General features: G+C 36.1%; 1 protein-coding gene across 3 annotated transcripts in view, besides 1 other annotated feature; it reads left to right on the top strand.

Moving 5' to 3' along the window:
• EFNA5 (ephrin A5) overlaps nucleotides 1-15625 on the top strand; it is a 294044-nt gene that overhangs the window by 243963 nt on the left and 34456 nt on the right. The gene's annotated exons all lie outside the window — the stretch shown is intronic.
• Nucleotides 4082-4211: an enhancer, noted in NCBI's record as "active region_22862". NCBI's record gives its function as "activates an Ori minimal core promoter by ATAC-STARR-seq in GM12878 lymphoblastoid cells {active_cell/tissue: GM12878}" and the evidence as "EXISTENCE:reporter gene assay evidence [ECO:0000049][PMID:35858748]".

The following is a 15625-nucleotide window of genomic DNA, read 5'->3' as shown; positions in this document are numbered from 1 at the left end:
TGTATTTTTTTTAAATGAAAATTGCCAGGACTTCTCCAAAGCTCAGGAAAAGAAAAAAAGACTCCTGAAAAAAAAATTAAAGGAAATAATTAAATTTACATAGCTTGGAGTCATTGGATTTCTTATTCAGGTGTCAGCAATATCCTTTCAATCTTCCACATTTTCAGTGGAGGAAGCCAAAACTCCTGGACATGTCAGCATGTTGACGATAAATACTCTCTTTGCAGCAAGGAGAAAAGATAATTATTAAGAGTAGCTCTGTCTTTAAACAGGAAAGACTTGTGAAGAAGTGTCTAGAAGGGGTTCCAAGGTAACTGGTATGAGCGAGTTTCCGACCTGTGAGCATTGAGTGACTCTGTCCTGGGAGAGCTCTAAAACTTTCTCAGTAGACTTCTGTATTAATCAGAATGCCTGGCCTTGTTTCTTCTCCATTATATACCCATCACTTCTTCATACCTCCTACTATCATATGTTATAGGTAAATGCTTCTCAAACTTCACCGTGCATAGTGTTATCTGGGGATCTTGTAATGCATTCTGACTCAGGAGGTCTTAAGGCAGGGCCTGAAATTCTGGATGTATGAAGCTCCCAGATGCTGCTGCTGCTACTGAACTGTGGACCACACTTTGAGTAGCAAGATTATAGGTGGTAGCTACTTTAAGCAGCTTGTTGTGTATCTGGACTTTAACTAGTATTTATATTTAAACTATCTGGCCTTTCCCATGTATTCTCACTGTCAACTGAAGAGGTTAAAAGTTTACTTGTTAAAAAATACATTTATTGGACAGCTTAATCTGAGCTGAGAAATGCTGGGGGATGCAAGATGAAAAGATATTCCCTGTTCTTAGGGAGTGACCTTTCACTGGGGAGCAGACATGTAAATAGGCAATTAAAGTATAAGTCGACAATTGCTGATGATGAAGATAAATTCAGGGAGTAGTGAGAACATGGAGAAAGTTGTGCCTCACCTGCTTGGAAGAATCAGGAAATGCAACCACACACAGTGGGTAGAGATCCAAGTTATACCACTCAGTATGCTTAGCATCGACTTTCACCCCAGCTTGCCAGACAAACAAGAACATTCTTTTTTCTGACTCATTTCTTCAGTCCAAATGTCCCTACCCACTCACAACTTACACGGTTTAAGTCTACAGGGATTTCTAGCTCCTCTCCTTCTCCAGAAAACAGAATTTTATAATAAGTCAGATTTCACCATCACAATGATAACTGTCACTTATATTGGAATTGAATTTAAAAAGGAAATTGAACAGTACCAGTTTTATTATTTCAGTACATATTTCAGTCATTAGTCATGAGAAAACATGCAAAAGCCTTGATACTATCTCACATTTGATCCATAAAACAAGAAAAGGAATATTGAGTCCCACAGATGCAGGAAGCACTGGCATACAGTGAATTCACACTTCTCAGGCAGCATGTTCTTGACTTTTATTGCTTTTTTACTTTGTGAAAGAATCTCATTCAGCATATGAGAAAAAGGAAAGAGGAGGACTTCATTTGTGGGACAGCAACTCATTAGTTGTCTCACTGTAAAATACTATACCAATGTAAGAGAAAATTCTTGCTAGTTTTGAAATTTTCTTACTGGCTTCTCAGATTAAAAAAACAACAGCAAAAGCAAAAATCAAAAATGAATAGAGAGCACCAAGATGAGGAACATACCCACTAACTAACTAGTTGATTGCCTGATTATTAGAAATTATAGAATTCATTCAGCTTCATAAGCAAGATGTTATTATTCAAATATACCCATAGCGCTTATGACTGGTTTTTCCTCATTTGTGGTTAAATTCAATATTTCACTAAAAATCATTATGTGACTTCTATAACATTCATTTAACGGAGTCATTTAACTGTCAAGGGCTTCCGTCAAAGTAATTGTTCCAAAATGCTTCAAAATATGAAGAGCTTTTTGCTGTTCAGCTGAGTTTAACTTGAATTACTTTTTTTAATGAAAGGTAAAATAGCACAAAATTAGCAGCAAAAAGATGTTCATTAACAAGAAGCACAGTGGCTTGGTGTTCAGTTAAATTGAATTTTCAACCATGTTTTCGACCCGCAAAGGCATCCTTCCCTGTCTTTTTAGTAATGAAAGGGTTTCTTCTCTTCCACCACTGCAGTCAGGAGCAGCAGAGCTAACATGGTTGTCTTACAGACGTTTAATGTACTGTGGTCATAATTAAACTAAAGGATTCTTAGGGGAGAATTGGCCCTCAGTTGAATTTTCCTCTTCCCTAATGTGTGTGGAATGAACAAGATGATTGGGAAATAGCTATTTTCACACTTACTACGTTACAAGATGCTCTATTGCTGATCTCAGGAACAAGCTTCACTGCCCACCAGTCAATTTTACAGAATGTTCTTGCTAGGACAGCAGTACCTCTTAGCTCCTCATAGCCTTAAAATCTCTTCTTACTTTCCCTAGAAAAAAGAAAGCTGGCTGTGCACAGTGGCTCACATCTGTAATCCTAGCACTTTGGGAGGCCGAGGCGGGTGGATCATGAGGTCAGGAATTCAAGACCAGCCTGGCCAAGAGAGTGAAACCCCATCGCTACTAAAAAAAAAAAAAAAATACAAAAATTAGCTGGGCATGGTGGCAGGAGCCTGTAATCTCAGCTACTTGGGAGGCTGAGGCAGGAGAATCACTTGAACCAGGGTGGCAGAGGTTGCAGTGAGCCGAGATTGAGCCACTGCACTCCAGCCTGGGTGACAGAGTGAGACTCCGTCTCAAAAAAAAAAAAAAAAAAAAAAAAAATGAAAGAAAGAAAAAAGAAAGCTATAGCTTTTTGGCCATCCTGCTTTATGGTGCTAGGAGTAGGCTTAAGTATAGTGAAGACTGTGGAGTGCCAAAATTCAGATACAAACACAGATTTGGAGGAAGGGAAGACAAGGATTTCATAACAAGCTATTCACCTCATTACTTAGAGAGGACATGAGTCAGAAGATTCTTATCAACATTTGCCTTATCCTCAACCAGATTTCTTTTTTTCTTAATGTCTTTGAGTTTTATAAAATTAAGAAAATGTGGTAGTTGAAAATATCCTAAATGAAGTTTCCAATTTACTTTAAAAATAAAACATGCTTTGCAGTTCTAGTCCCTTTATTTTAACTCCCAAGAATAACTATGCTATATTCTCCTTTCCTTGGGAACAGACAGTATATTAAGTTGTTATAATTGCTGATTATTGCTGAGGTAGACTGGGGCCATCTCTGAATCTGACAAATACTGTTTTTAATCTACAGGAGTTATTTTGGTAAGAGATTGGCATACTAAAGTAATTACAGAAAGTTGGCGGTATTTATATCAATGATAGATTTGCAGAACTGCCAGTCAATTGATTAAGACAATAGTTGTTTATATAGACTTCCTAAAGGAAACAGTAATTTTAAAAAATTCAAAAATACTCATTTTAGCTGGATATGGTAGCACATGCCTGTAGTCCCAGCTGTTTGGGAGGCTGAGGTAGGAGGATTGTTTGAGCCAAAAAAATCAAGACCAGCCTGGGCAACATAGCAAAACCCTGTCTTTTTTTTTTTTTTAATACTCCTTTTAGAAACTTAAAAAATACTCAATTTAGAAATGATACTCTTAAATATTAACCTAATGAGAATATGTTTGATAGAAGTTTTGCAGTTATTTTTACATCAGAAGGGGTAAAGGGAAATCCTTTTAATAAGTTATCTTTGTAATTCCATAAAACACTGATTTGAATATATGCTTTTATAAAGTAAGGAAAACTGAGTCCCAGGTCCTTTTCTTGACCTAACTAGCTGTATGATCTTGAGAGAATCATTTCATCCATCTGGAGTTTGAACTCTACATCTGTAAAATAATGTAATTATAATTGACTTCAGAAATTCTTGGAGCTTTAATATCCTAATTTTATTATATTTTATCTGAGGGTCTGCAGCATTAGGGTAAAAGATAACATCCGTACAGTGGTCCAGGTCAATACCTTGCTTAGTAGATGTTCAATAAATCCTAGTTAAAGGTACATTTTTAGGGAAAATGCAGAATGGAGAGGCGTGTTAGGGTTATTGAACTAGTTCTCTCCCAGCTGCTCTGTCCAAGTCATCATTATCTGTGGTCTCTACCAGTGCAGCAAGCTCCTGTTTTCCCCACTCATGGCACTGACAGAGCAGTGCCTCACAGCCTCAGAGCTCTGTCACAGCCCTCCAGTGACTTCCTGTCTCACCCAGACAAAAGTCCACAGTCTCTAACCTGGCCAGCAAGGTCCTCCATGGTTGAACTCCTTTCCCTGATTCCCTCGGCCTCTGACTTCTGCTACCACCGTCTGCCTGATTCTGGCTACTCAGCTGCCAGCCCTCCTCCCTCTCCTATCCAGTACACTCCTACATCGGGACCTGGGGACTTTATTGTCCCTCTACCTGGGCTTCCCATTGCCCCAGGCATTCACGTGCCTTGCTCTCACTTTCTTTAGGTCTGTGTTCAAACAATGTCTTTATCCAAGAGGCAGCGACTCTGACCTCTCTATATAAAAATAACACCTTGTTCTCTGCATTCTCTATACTTTTACTGTGCTTTATTTTTCCTCAGGCACTTATCATCCCTGACATTATATATTTATGGTAGGTTGTTCACAGCTGTTCCTGCTTTCTGCCCTGTATTACATTGCTTGGCACATGCAGATGTTTAATAAGTAAGGATAACTAGAATTTATATAGCATGTACTGTGTTCCAGGCGCCATCTGAAAACAGCACTACGAAGAACTATTCTTTTTCCCTATTTACAGGTGAAGAAACTGAGGCCCAGAAAAGTTAGGTAACTTGAAAAAGGTTCACACAGATGAGAACTAGCTGATCTGGGAGGAAGTTAAGTGAGTAAGCAACTAAAAGAAGAGGGCCGGGCGCAGTGGCTCATGCCTGTAATCCCAGCACTTTGGGAGGCCAAGGCAAGTGGATCACCTGAGGCTGTGAGTTCAAGACCAGCCTGACCAACATGGAGAAACCCCATCTCTACTAAAAATGCAAAATTAGACGGGCGTGGTAGCTCATGCCTGTAACCCCAGCTACTCAGGAAGCTGAGGCAGGAGAATTGCTTGAACCTGGGAGGCGGAGGTTGCAGTGAGCTGGGATCGCTCCATTGCACTCCAGCCTGGGCAACAAGAGCGAAACTCTGTCTAAAAAAAAAAAAAGAAAGAAAGAAATGAGGAGATAAAGTCCTGGGGTCTATTATACTTGAAAAAATACACTTTATATTTTTTAAAAACAGATTAGAAACAAATAGCACTCACTCTGACATCATCTACTGTTTAGAGAATTCTACTTTATAAACACTTCCTAGGAACCCCGAATCAGATGGTAGAAAGATAAATTTTAAACATATTTCTGCATTTTTTCCTCTCCAAAGGATACTTTTCCATCTCCAGAAGATATTTCAACTGTATCTTCCCAAAGCGTTGACCTTTTTAACTCAGATAACTTCAGAAACCAGAAAAGTTGCATTTTCTAAGAAATTCTCCTTAAATGTCCTGAATATTCACCATCCAGACTGAATTACGATTGCACACTTGATTCAGGAATTAGTATGTTTTAATGAGAGATCTATAATAAAGAAGACAATTGTCATTTTCTGAAAATGATACTAAAAGAGAATTTTTCCAGCATTTGTTATATCTGAGTTATTACTAGGACATTCTGTGTTACTATGGACATCATTTTTAAATCTATAGTCTGTAGATGCTTAAATGTATGTGGTTAACTGCTAATTCTCAGCTTTAGGTATTTAGATTAAAAGTTTACAGTTTTATCTTAAGCCATGAGGCAATTTTAATATTCACTGTACAATTTTTAAAACAAAGTAACCTAAGTTCCTAAGGGCTATCTTATTAAAATGATCAAGATCAGCTTCAGAAATCATTTGATTGTACAATACAGTTATTGGCTAACCTTTTAAAAGTATAAGAATATTCAGTAAAACTAGTAAAACAGAACTAATTTGAAGAAAGTCCTCATTTAACTATCGATGTGTTTCAAAACCTTATTTGCAGGTGAGTTGTTTAGAATTCAGAATATAGTTTTTCGTAGAAGTGCAAGTTTTCCATAATATGGATAATCTGCTTAGCCATAATATTGATGAAAAGCTATATATTTCAAAGAAAAATTGCAGAAAGCAGCATCTAGAAGAGTTACTCAGGAAATATTTATTGCATGGATAAATGCCATAATAAACCACATATGGCAAAAAACCAATTAATTTTTTAAATTTCTAATTTTGTTTTTTAGAAAAGCAGATAAATTACAGGGCTCAAGTTTTACTGCACCCTCTCCAGCAGTTCCCTCGTATTTTAGTACTTTAAAAAAATAATATGCTAGGAATACATAACATCAAAGCAGAGAGTGGAACATGGTTGTTGTTGTTTGCGTGTGTTTTTTTTCTTTTTTTTTTTTCTTTTTTTTTTTTTTTTTTAAAAGCACAGACTCTGGTTAAGTGTAGCTTTGGGTCTGAATCCTCTTTCTGTGCTCTTACTAGCTGTGGGAACTTGGGCAATGTGCTTAACTTCACTGAGCTTCAATTCCTTCATCTGTAAAATGGGTGTAATAATCACAACTCTTTTCTGATTTTTGAGTCTCGATGAAATATTGTTTAAGGAACCAGTTGATTGCCAAAATAACAACTTCAGTAATCCAAGTCCAAAAAGTTTTGCATTTTTTGAAAAGTTAAGGCAACTTGAATATCCCAGATTGATATTTTAGTTCAGTAAAAAATTTCATAAATGCATAAAGATTAAGTTTTAAGACCATTTCCTATATTCTTAAGGAGCATTATGCTAGGATTACTATGCATAAGGAATTCTTCATTCCTCTTGATGTCTGATTTTTCAGTGCCTTACTTTAGTCATCTACATTAAGAATTGTTTTGCTCTGGACAGTTCACACCAATCACCTTTTTTACATAGTTTTTCTTATTGAAATAGAAGAGTGTCAAAATGGCACAATTATCAAAGCAGGAGGTAGTCTTTTTCACTGTTCATTGTCTTTTACTCTTGCAGGGGAAATGACTTGTAAGTACAATGTACTTTCTGACAATGAAACACTCGATATTTGCTTCAGTGTGTGTGTGTGCATTTTACTTTTGTTATTGAAAAATGTTTTTGATTACTGAAGTCTTATTTTAGCATTATTTACTGTAGCATCAACTTCTCTAAGATTGAAGAGGTTTATAACTGAAATGTTCTGTAGGACTGTGGTCAAATACTGGTGCACCTCCTCTAGTTTTTCAAGTATGTGTACTAGCACATGGTGTTTTAAGACACACTTGTATTAATACAGAAGAGTGGAAGGGCAGTGTTGGGAAACCGACAAATTTTAACGTTTTCTAAAGGGAAGAGAATACATATGGCACAAAAATCAGATAGTAAGTACCCAGATATAGATGCAAAGTACATCTTAGTCACCAAAAACTATTTAGTTTTTCTTTGTAAGTTTTGTGTTATTTTGAAAATAGAATGGAACAATTTTCTCCCCTTGAAAGCCAGCATATTTTTTAAGAATTATATCGGGTCTCTATTTGAAAATAGTCCTTCTATTCGCTTTGTATACTCCCACAGGTCTTTAGTGAAGCTGCAATAATGCACCTTTTTATTTAAAGAATGAGTTTAGGGAATTGTGTCTGTTTCAAGTTGTCCCTAGTCATTTTTTAGGAAAGCATGAATGAATTTCAAGGGCTCTTAAATGAAGGTTAAATAAAGAACATGAAAGAGGATATTTAGGGACTTGTGGAAATTATTCTGTTAATTGTAATTTCCTCTTATGAAAACAGTTATTTACTGCCAGGTGCCCTCTTAACCTTCTGAGCATGCATACGCAGCATCAGCTCAGGTGCTGTTGGAGCTAGACCTGTACCTCTGCCTTCTGGTAATGGCTTCGCCTAGCACACTTCACATAGTTTGAGTGAAATCAAAGGTGGAGGAGGCAATTCATAGGAACACAGGGTATTGAAAAGTATTTTTAAATTTGTTGACAAGTTATTTGATCAAGTAGCATGGATTTTAAAAGGAAATGCATGCCCTGTTAAGTGACTAAAGGATGAGTCTAGTTTAACTCCTGTTTAAAAGAATCAGAGAAATTAATGCCAGGTCTGTGAAAAAGGAAAATAGAGCAGATATCACCGCTTAATAGATTTTTACATTGGGACCATCTTGAAAGTTTGCAAAAGGAGCCTTAAAAGTTACTCAATAATCAGGACTTGATGGAAATTCACGGTATAAAGCCATAAGAAACTGAAGACTCCTAAGTACCCTTCCCATTGTCTGAATTTTTCAAAGGCTGTGACACTCAGACGAGAAGTTCAAAACCAAAATAATTTTTATTTGTACTGCTTTTAAGAATTCAGAATGCTATTATGAGACAGAGGAAGCATGTAGAGTTCTGACCTCCTAAGGGAAAAGGAGGAATTATGTCACCTTTTGCTTCCTTTACCCTACTGAGACTCAATGGTGAAATGGAAACAAATTAAAGGATTGTTCTTTTTATCCTTAAATGTCAAACGTGGTTGCATCTCCTAAAGAAATAATGCAACTGATTAATTGTGTAATTTCACAGGGAAGCAGTAATTCTCAGCCTTATAAACATGTAATGCACTAATTTGGTTTCAGAGTTAACTGAAACAGTTTAATGAGCTGCTGTATCACGTGTGTGTACAGTGTTACATAGAGCAGATGCCAGGAAAAAAGGAAATAACACACCAGTGACACTTGGAATAACAGTGTTTATACTTCATTGACTTTGGGTTGTCAGCATGCTATTCTCTGTGTTTCTCTTAGTAACTTATTAAGGCAACTGAATTTCAGTGTGATGATGTCTGAGTGTCATTTCTTGTAAATTACACAAGCATGCACACACCAAATGCATAGTCAATCTTTGGGAAAAAAATAATACTTTCTAGAATAGACGACCAAAATATTATCCACAAGATACATACACACAGAGTGAAAGGTTACTCTCTGAACCTCGTGCATGCTGGAAGAACAGCATTTGGGCCTTTCATCAGAAGAAATACTATTTCTACAGACTTTCCCACTCATCTATTCTTGCTCTATTTTCACCAAATGGTCATGTAACTCTTGGTTTGAAAGTTGTCATACAGCCTTACAGCAGGCTTATATTATCTACAGAGTTCTTTATGGGGAAATATAAATCACCACAAATGAGACTTTTCACAGCCAGAGATATGTAGAAATTTGTGTCAGTGCTTTGCTGGCTTGCTAAAAAAATATCTCTAGGCTCCGAAGCTCTCACAACTCATCCTTGCTCCCTACCCTTTTGGGAAGCAATTCTCAAAACTTGAGATTTATGGTCCAGAAAGCTGATAGTGGCTATCAAGTTTTCTGTTTTCTCTTTCTTTATTATTAATGCAGAGAACGAGGCATTATCATTCATTATTTTAGTTCATGAGTATCCTTTGGGCTTGAAATATGGTTTCTGGGGATATGGCTTACCTCTGTTTAATAGGGGAAATATGTGGACTTTGGCAACAGGCTTCTTTTCCATCGAATATTTTAAGTCAGATTGTATAAAATCCACATTAGGAACAGAACTTTAATATGTATGCTATGTATGGGTTTGGTTTTAAAGTTTAAAGCTTCACAAAAAAATTAATTCATTCTGAGCCTCAAAAGTAAAATATCATGAATTGGAGAACAGCCAGCCAGGTCTATTATTGTTGGGAATTGGAATGATAATATCTTTTCATTTTACTATTTTTAGAGATATACAATATTTCCAACTAGCTTTATCTACATTAATGTTAGCTAAGTTTTAGTTTTTGGTTAACATTCCCTTTTGCATGTAAACCCATAAAAACAAATAACATGTGCTCTGAATCATTTTTAAGAAGAATGTATATTGTTTTTAACTTGCCCAATTTTTAGTACCTCCAATATCAGGCTTCTAATGTAAATTTGCTTTGTCTGATTTTTTTTTTCACAGACATTTTTAAAAGTTCATTTTCTCCTCCAGTAAATTGTTACAAATTCTGACTAAAATCTGAATTGATTAAGTTTTACTGCATGTTTTGCTTTAACAGTTTCTGTTGGTCCTCAACCTTGATTTCAGACATACTTGCTTCATTTTAGGTGGAATTTTTAATGGGCAAATCTAAGTAAGCAAGGAGAGTAAATTGGAGGCTAAAAATGTGAACAGGCAAATTTTTTACTTTTAGTATATTGCTTAGAGGTCTTACTATATACAGTGGGGGCAGTTCAGTTCAGTCAGTTTTGAAGCAGTATGATGAATACTGCAATGATTTAAATGAAGTTTAGTTTAGCCTTTTGCTAAAGGTTTACTCATGCTTTAACTAATAACTCCTCCGGTAACACTTGTTCTGATGGTTGTAATTAGAGTGATTTAGCATATATTGCATGTACTAAGTGGCAGGCACTGTACCTAGCACTGTATCTGTTTTAAATTGTTGAATCCTCATCTGTGAGGCCGGTACTATCATTATCTATCATATAGATGAGGAAACTGAGGCTCAGAGAGGTTAAGTGACTTGCCTGAGATCATGTAGTTAGTACTGGGGTCAGGATTTGAACCCATGTAGTTTGACCCCAAGCCTAGAGTCTTTATTCAATTATTTCATAATAAATATTTTAAAAGACGTTAAAAGTAGACAGATTTCAAGCATCATTGGCAAGTCGTTATCTAAGTTCTACCTTCACCTTGGAACTTAGGTAGACCCTGTTCTCAAGACAGCTAATGGGAAATGTATAGGGAAATTTCATGTCAACTTATTCCTGAAATTTACATACTAGGAAGTAAATGGGTTTATAGAACAAAGCAGAGTACTATTGAATGGTTTGTGGGGTCAGACATGATGACATAATGAAATGTGTCATTCACCATTCCTGTTTCAATTGTGATGAAGGCATTTAATGATTAGCAAGAGTATTGAAAGTATATGTCTCTTCAGTGCCCTGAGTCATTTTTCAGAGGTTAAATTTCATTAACAGAATCAATAGCACAGTGTAGGCGTTGGTGGATATATTGCAAAGCCTAGTGAACAACTGTCTCAACATTGCAGCTTGTTAACATGATGCTCCATGCCAGGGATTGCCTTACCTTATCTAGCCTTAAGCAGCACAGCAGCTGCAAATTATTGTTTCACTTATTGTAATTAGTTATACTTGCTGTTGCTATTGTTATTTAAAATCCACCAGTGTTTTACAGACTTGCAGTTACTATACATCTTTGCACAAGAAAGATGAGTAGGGCTCCCATAAGGGGAAAGACACTGAGAATTTATAACATTTGAAATCCTTTTGAATGAAGTTAAGGAATTGTAGCAGCCATGTGCAGCACCCAGATTTTACACAGAGGGGATCTTGGCACTGGTTCATGAGGGTGATTACCGGAGTCAGGGAGCCCACCCAGCAGCCCTCCAAAAAACAAGCTTCACACCGCTCACGTGGATTTCTTCTCTTACTGGCCTCGCCTCTCCTGATAAGGAATCAGAACAGCATAAACTCAGGGATCAATGAAAAGGTCTGAATGGAGTGGAGAGTATTTGGAAAATAAAAACTGGATAGATTGGGTCAGATTATGAAGCACCATTAATTCTGTTCTGAAGAGTTTTGAATATATGTAACAGGCAATAGGGAGTAGTAGTATATTCTTAAAGAGTAAACTGATTTGAGGCTTATCATATAAATACATTGAAATCATTTGTTTTATGACTAGGTGCTTGCTGGGTATATATTAATAGCTAGCATGTAGTAAGCACTTATCCATTCCATATGTATATATATATATATAATCTCATCCATACTTTATCACAGGTACGTGTTAGGCACTGTTATTGTTCCGATTTTACAAATGAGAAAAACTGAAATGCAAACAGGTCAAATCATTTGTTTAGAATCACACTGTTCATGTACAGTTGAGTCCAGATTTGAGCAAAGGCATTCTGACTTCAAAGTTCATGCCCTTAGCTCTTATCCATGTGTGAAAAGCAGTGTTCAAAAGCTTATTCTATAAATAGTACTGGTACTTATGCAGAAATGATTCTAATCTCAGAGATATTAATATCCTTTACTTGAGTTTCTCTTTTTTTTTAATTGCCTTTAGTTCCTTTGCAATAGGTATAGAGATTTTTGCATGAGTTTTTATGATATTTATATTAAGTGGAATTGCTAAATCAATAACATTTGCTAGATTATTAGTTTAATCAAATAACAGAATTTCTGACCTTTAGCTACAATGTGTTAGTTTATTATTAAAGTATATTTTAGATTTATTGTGGCAATTTTGTGAAATATTTGTATTCCAAATGCTATAAAACCCCTTTATTAAACTCTACTTGAGGCTGTTGGTACTTGTGCATCATTATATTTGTAGAAAATCTACAGTGGCTATAGAAGGACACACTTCAGTATTACATATTATTTTCTCATTAGTCAAGCAGTTCATCAGTGCTTACTGAGCTATGTTTACCTAGAGGGCCAATGTAGGGGACAGTGTGGAGAAAGTATTCAATATGATTTTTGTCCTCTAGGAGCTCACAATCCAGTGTGGGAAAAATATATTCATGAAAATAACAGCAAAAAGAGAAATAAAGTGAATTATAAGATTAGCACTTTCCATAAAAGAGAGAGAGACGACTATTTCAGGAGGAAGAGATCAGTTAAAGATGTAGTAACATATTGATTTGAGGGACAAGGTGGAATTTAAGTCTCAGGGCTTAAGACGCTATCCCAAATTTCGTGATCTGTCTGGAGATGATAGGTAAAAAGTCAAATTCTTGGAACCCACTTCCATAAAGTTTGATTCGTTCAACTTTATGAGGTTGCAATGTAGGAATCTATTTTTAATAAGCCCTCCAGCTGTTTTTCCTGCAAGTTGTACCACACTTCGAGAACATTGGCTTAAAGTAGGAATGGATGGGTCTGAATTCAAGACTTGAAAGAAGTGGGTACTAGAGGATTTGATTAAATGGAAGGGTCATGTCAACAGTACCATCAGTCTTGAGAAATGGCAGTCTTTGTGATGTGAATGTTGGTATAATCCAGGGAGCTCTGGTTAGGGAGAGACTAAGTCTAAGATAAAGACTAAAATAGACTAAGATTCTGGGAGTCATCTAATTCACAATGGTCATAATAAATCCTTCCTTCTGCCTGACCAAGTAAATTGTCTCATTGCTTTACCTGTAAATTAGACATAATTTGACCTTGCTGATGCAAACAAAAACCATAGAACCCTTTAGGGTTTTTGCATTTCTTGTACAATTGAACAAAATTTTTTATCATAAAATAAATTTCTTTTTCAAAGTGGCAAGCTGTGTTAGGATAAGAATCAGAAAGCCACATAAAAATAGAAAACAGGCAAGATATCAAGTGATAAGAAATATTCATTTTGGACCAACAGTTTCGAAGGAAAATGTGTACCTGGAGAGAAAGAAATGAATAATGAATAGTTCCTGTAATATTCTATTTATATGACATGAGGTTTTTGGAAGGAACACTGAAGAAGTCAGTGCCCATTGTCTGTGCCTTTTGTGCTTGTCAGTTTGTTTTGCTCTCCCTGATGTCAGTTAGAGTCTGATGAAAATGGAGTCAATTTAAATGGAGCAATGATTTGGTTATGATTAAAGGTCAACAGTGATCTGTACTTAATCACTATTTACCACTTCTGTATTGGGTTAGACAACAGTCATTTTTTTAACCATATAATATGCCCTGATTCTTAGAAAATAAGTCTATTATTTCATAGGTTCCTTTTAAAAGTATTATTAAGTTTTGAAAGATAGATGAGATGAGAATGAGGAGGCCTGGGTTTTGGCTTCACCATTCATTAGGTTTGGAGAGTTGGGCAGGAGACTTCAACCCATGCTTCAAGTTTTCCATGTGTAAATGAGTTGAAGTGCTAGTTTAATAAGTGGTTTTCTTAATATTGATATTTGAAAGGCAATTAGTTACTTTCCTAGTTTCTGTCAAAATTAATGGTAGCTTCCATGACAAATTTTTATGGGTACTTTTAATTATACATTTGCATGTGTCAAAAATAGTTTCTATCATCAACTAGTTTGAAATACACTGGTGGTCAGAAATAGCTCACTGTCATTTACTCACAAGGGCATTTTTCTTACCATCTTTGCAGAATCAAATATGGCCAAATATATTAATTGAGTTCAAAAAGTATTAATTCAGTTCACTGTGGTTCATTTAGAGTGTTCTACAGTGGTGAGGATGAAGAAATAATCAGTCTACTCACTTAGAGAACCATTTGGGGGTGACATCCAAATCTGTAGTGGTCAGTTGAACGTGTACAAAATATTTTCAAGGGCTAACTAGAAAATTGCCTGTCTGTTGGCAGGTTTTGTGCACCTGGTTTTTTTTCCCTATAGTCTCATACCTGAGAAACGTGGAGAAATGTTCTTTTTCTAAATTGAAAAACTCAGCTGTAGTCTAAATGAAATGGGATAAATTATCTTTTTCACAATTATCCATTAAAGAGAGAATCAGAATTAATATTAATCACAGATGTTTCATCAAGTTTTATTATCAACCAGATTGACTGCCAAAGTGCTTTCTGGAAGACATTTTCTCTCTCTCCCCCACCTGCTACTGAGAACAAACTATTATGGGTCCTTAGATAAAGATTAATGGTTTTGGCAATTCATTTGAGGAAATCTGTATTTTACCGTACATTCCAAGTCAGTTCAAGGCACCACTGGGAAGCATGGTTTGTCACTTCACTAATAAAATTACACCACGGAGACACAAGATAGAATAATTCTTTCTACCATCAGAAACAGGTTAATCAATAAGTCGCCCAAAGTTAGTATCACCCAATCTATATTTTTAAAATTTTGGCAAGCCTTATTTGTAGATGACTTTAAGAGCTATTTTTTTTAACCCATCACACTTAAATTAATATTACTTTTCATTTCTGTGTCTACACTCTGGAATAATTCATTGCCAAATGTATGATCCCTGTAATAATTATGAACATTTGATAATACCCCATCCATTTGCAAAGTACACCACAGATGAGTATTATATTCATTAAGGTTCTCCATTTATAAACAACATTTATCAACTTCAGCTAACTTAAACAAAAAGAGCCAAGTATGTTGGCTCACACCTTGTAATTCCAGTGCTTTAGGAAGCCAAGGCAGGAGAGTCGCTCGAGCCCAGCCTGGGCAACAATGTAAGACCCCATCTGTGAAAAAAGTTTAAAAATAGCCAGGCGTGATGGCCATGCCTATAGTTGGTGTGAGCCATGATTGCACCACTGCACTCCAGCCTGGGCAACCAAGTGAGACCCTGTGTCAAATACCAACAAACAAAAAGAGAGACTTTTCCTTCCAGAGTTTGGTTATTTTAACTGAAGACCTCAGGATGGACAGGAACCAAGACAGTGGTGGGGATCTTAAATATAGAAACAAGTAGATAGTTTCATCAAGACTCAGCCATTCGATTTTCTTAGCTCTAACATTTTTCAATTCCTTGTGTCACCCTACTCAGGACGCAAGTTCCTGGGAGAAGGAATTTGATTGGCTTATATGCCTGTGCTTTGGAAAGAATAGAGAATACTTTGACCGACAGCTCCAAGACTGCATGAGATAAGGAAAGAGGAGTTCTT

Source organism: Homo sapiens, chromosome 5, assembly GCF_000001405.40.
Source record: "Homo sapiens chromosome 5, GRCh38.p14 Primary Assembly".
Classification (NCBI taxonomy): domain Eukaryota; kingdom Metazoa; phylum Chordata; class Mammalia; order Primates; family Hominidae; genus Homo; species Homo sapiens.
This window is presented reverse-complemented; position numbering and strand designations above follow the sequence as displayed.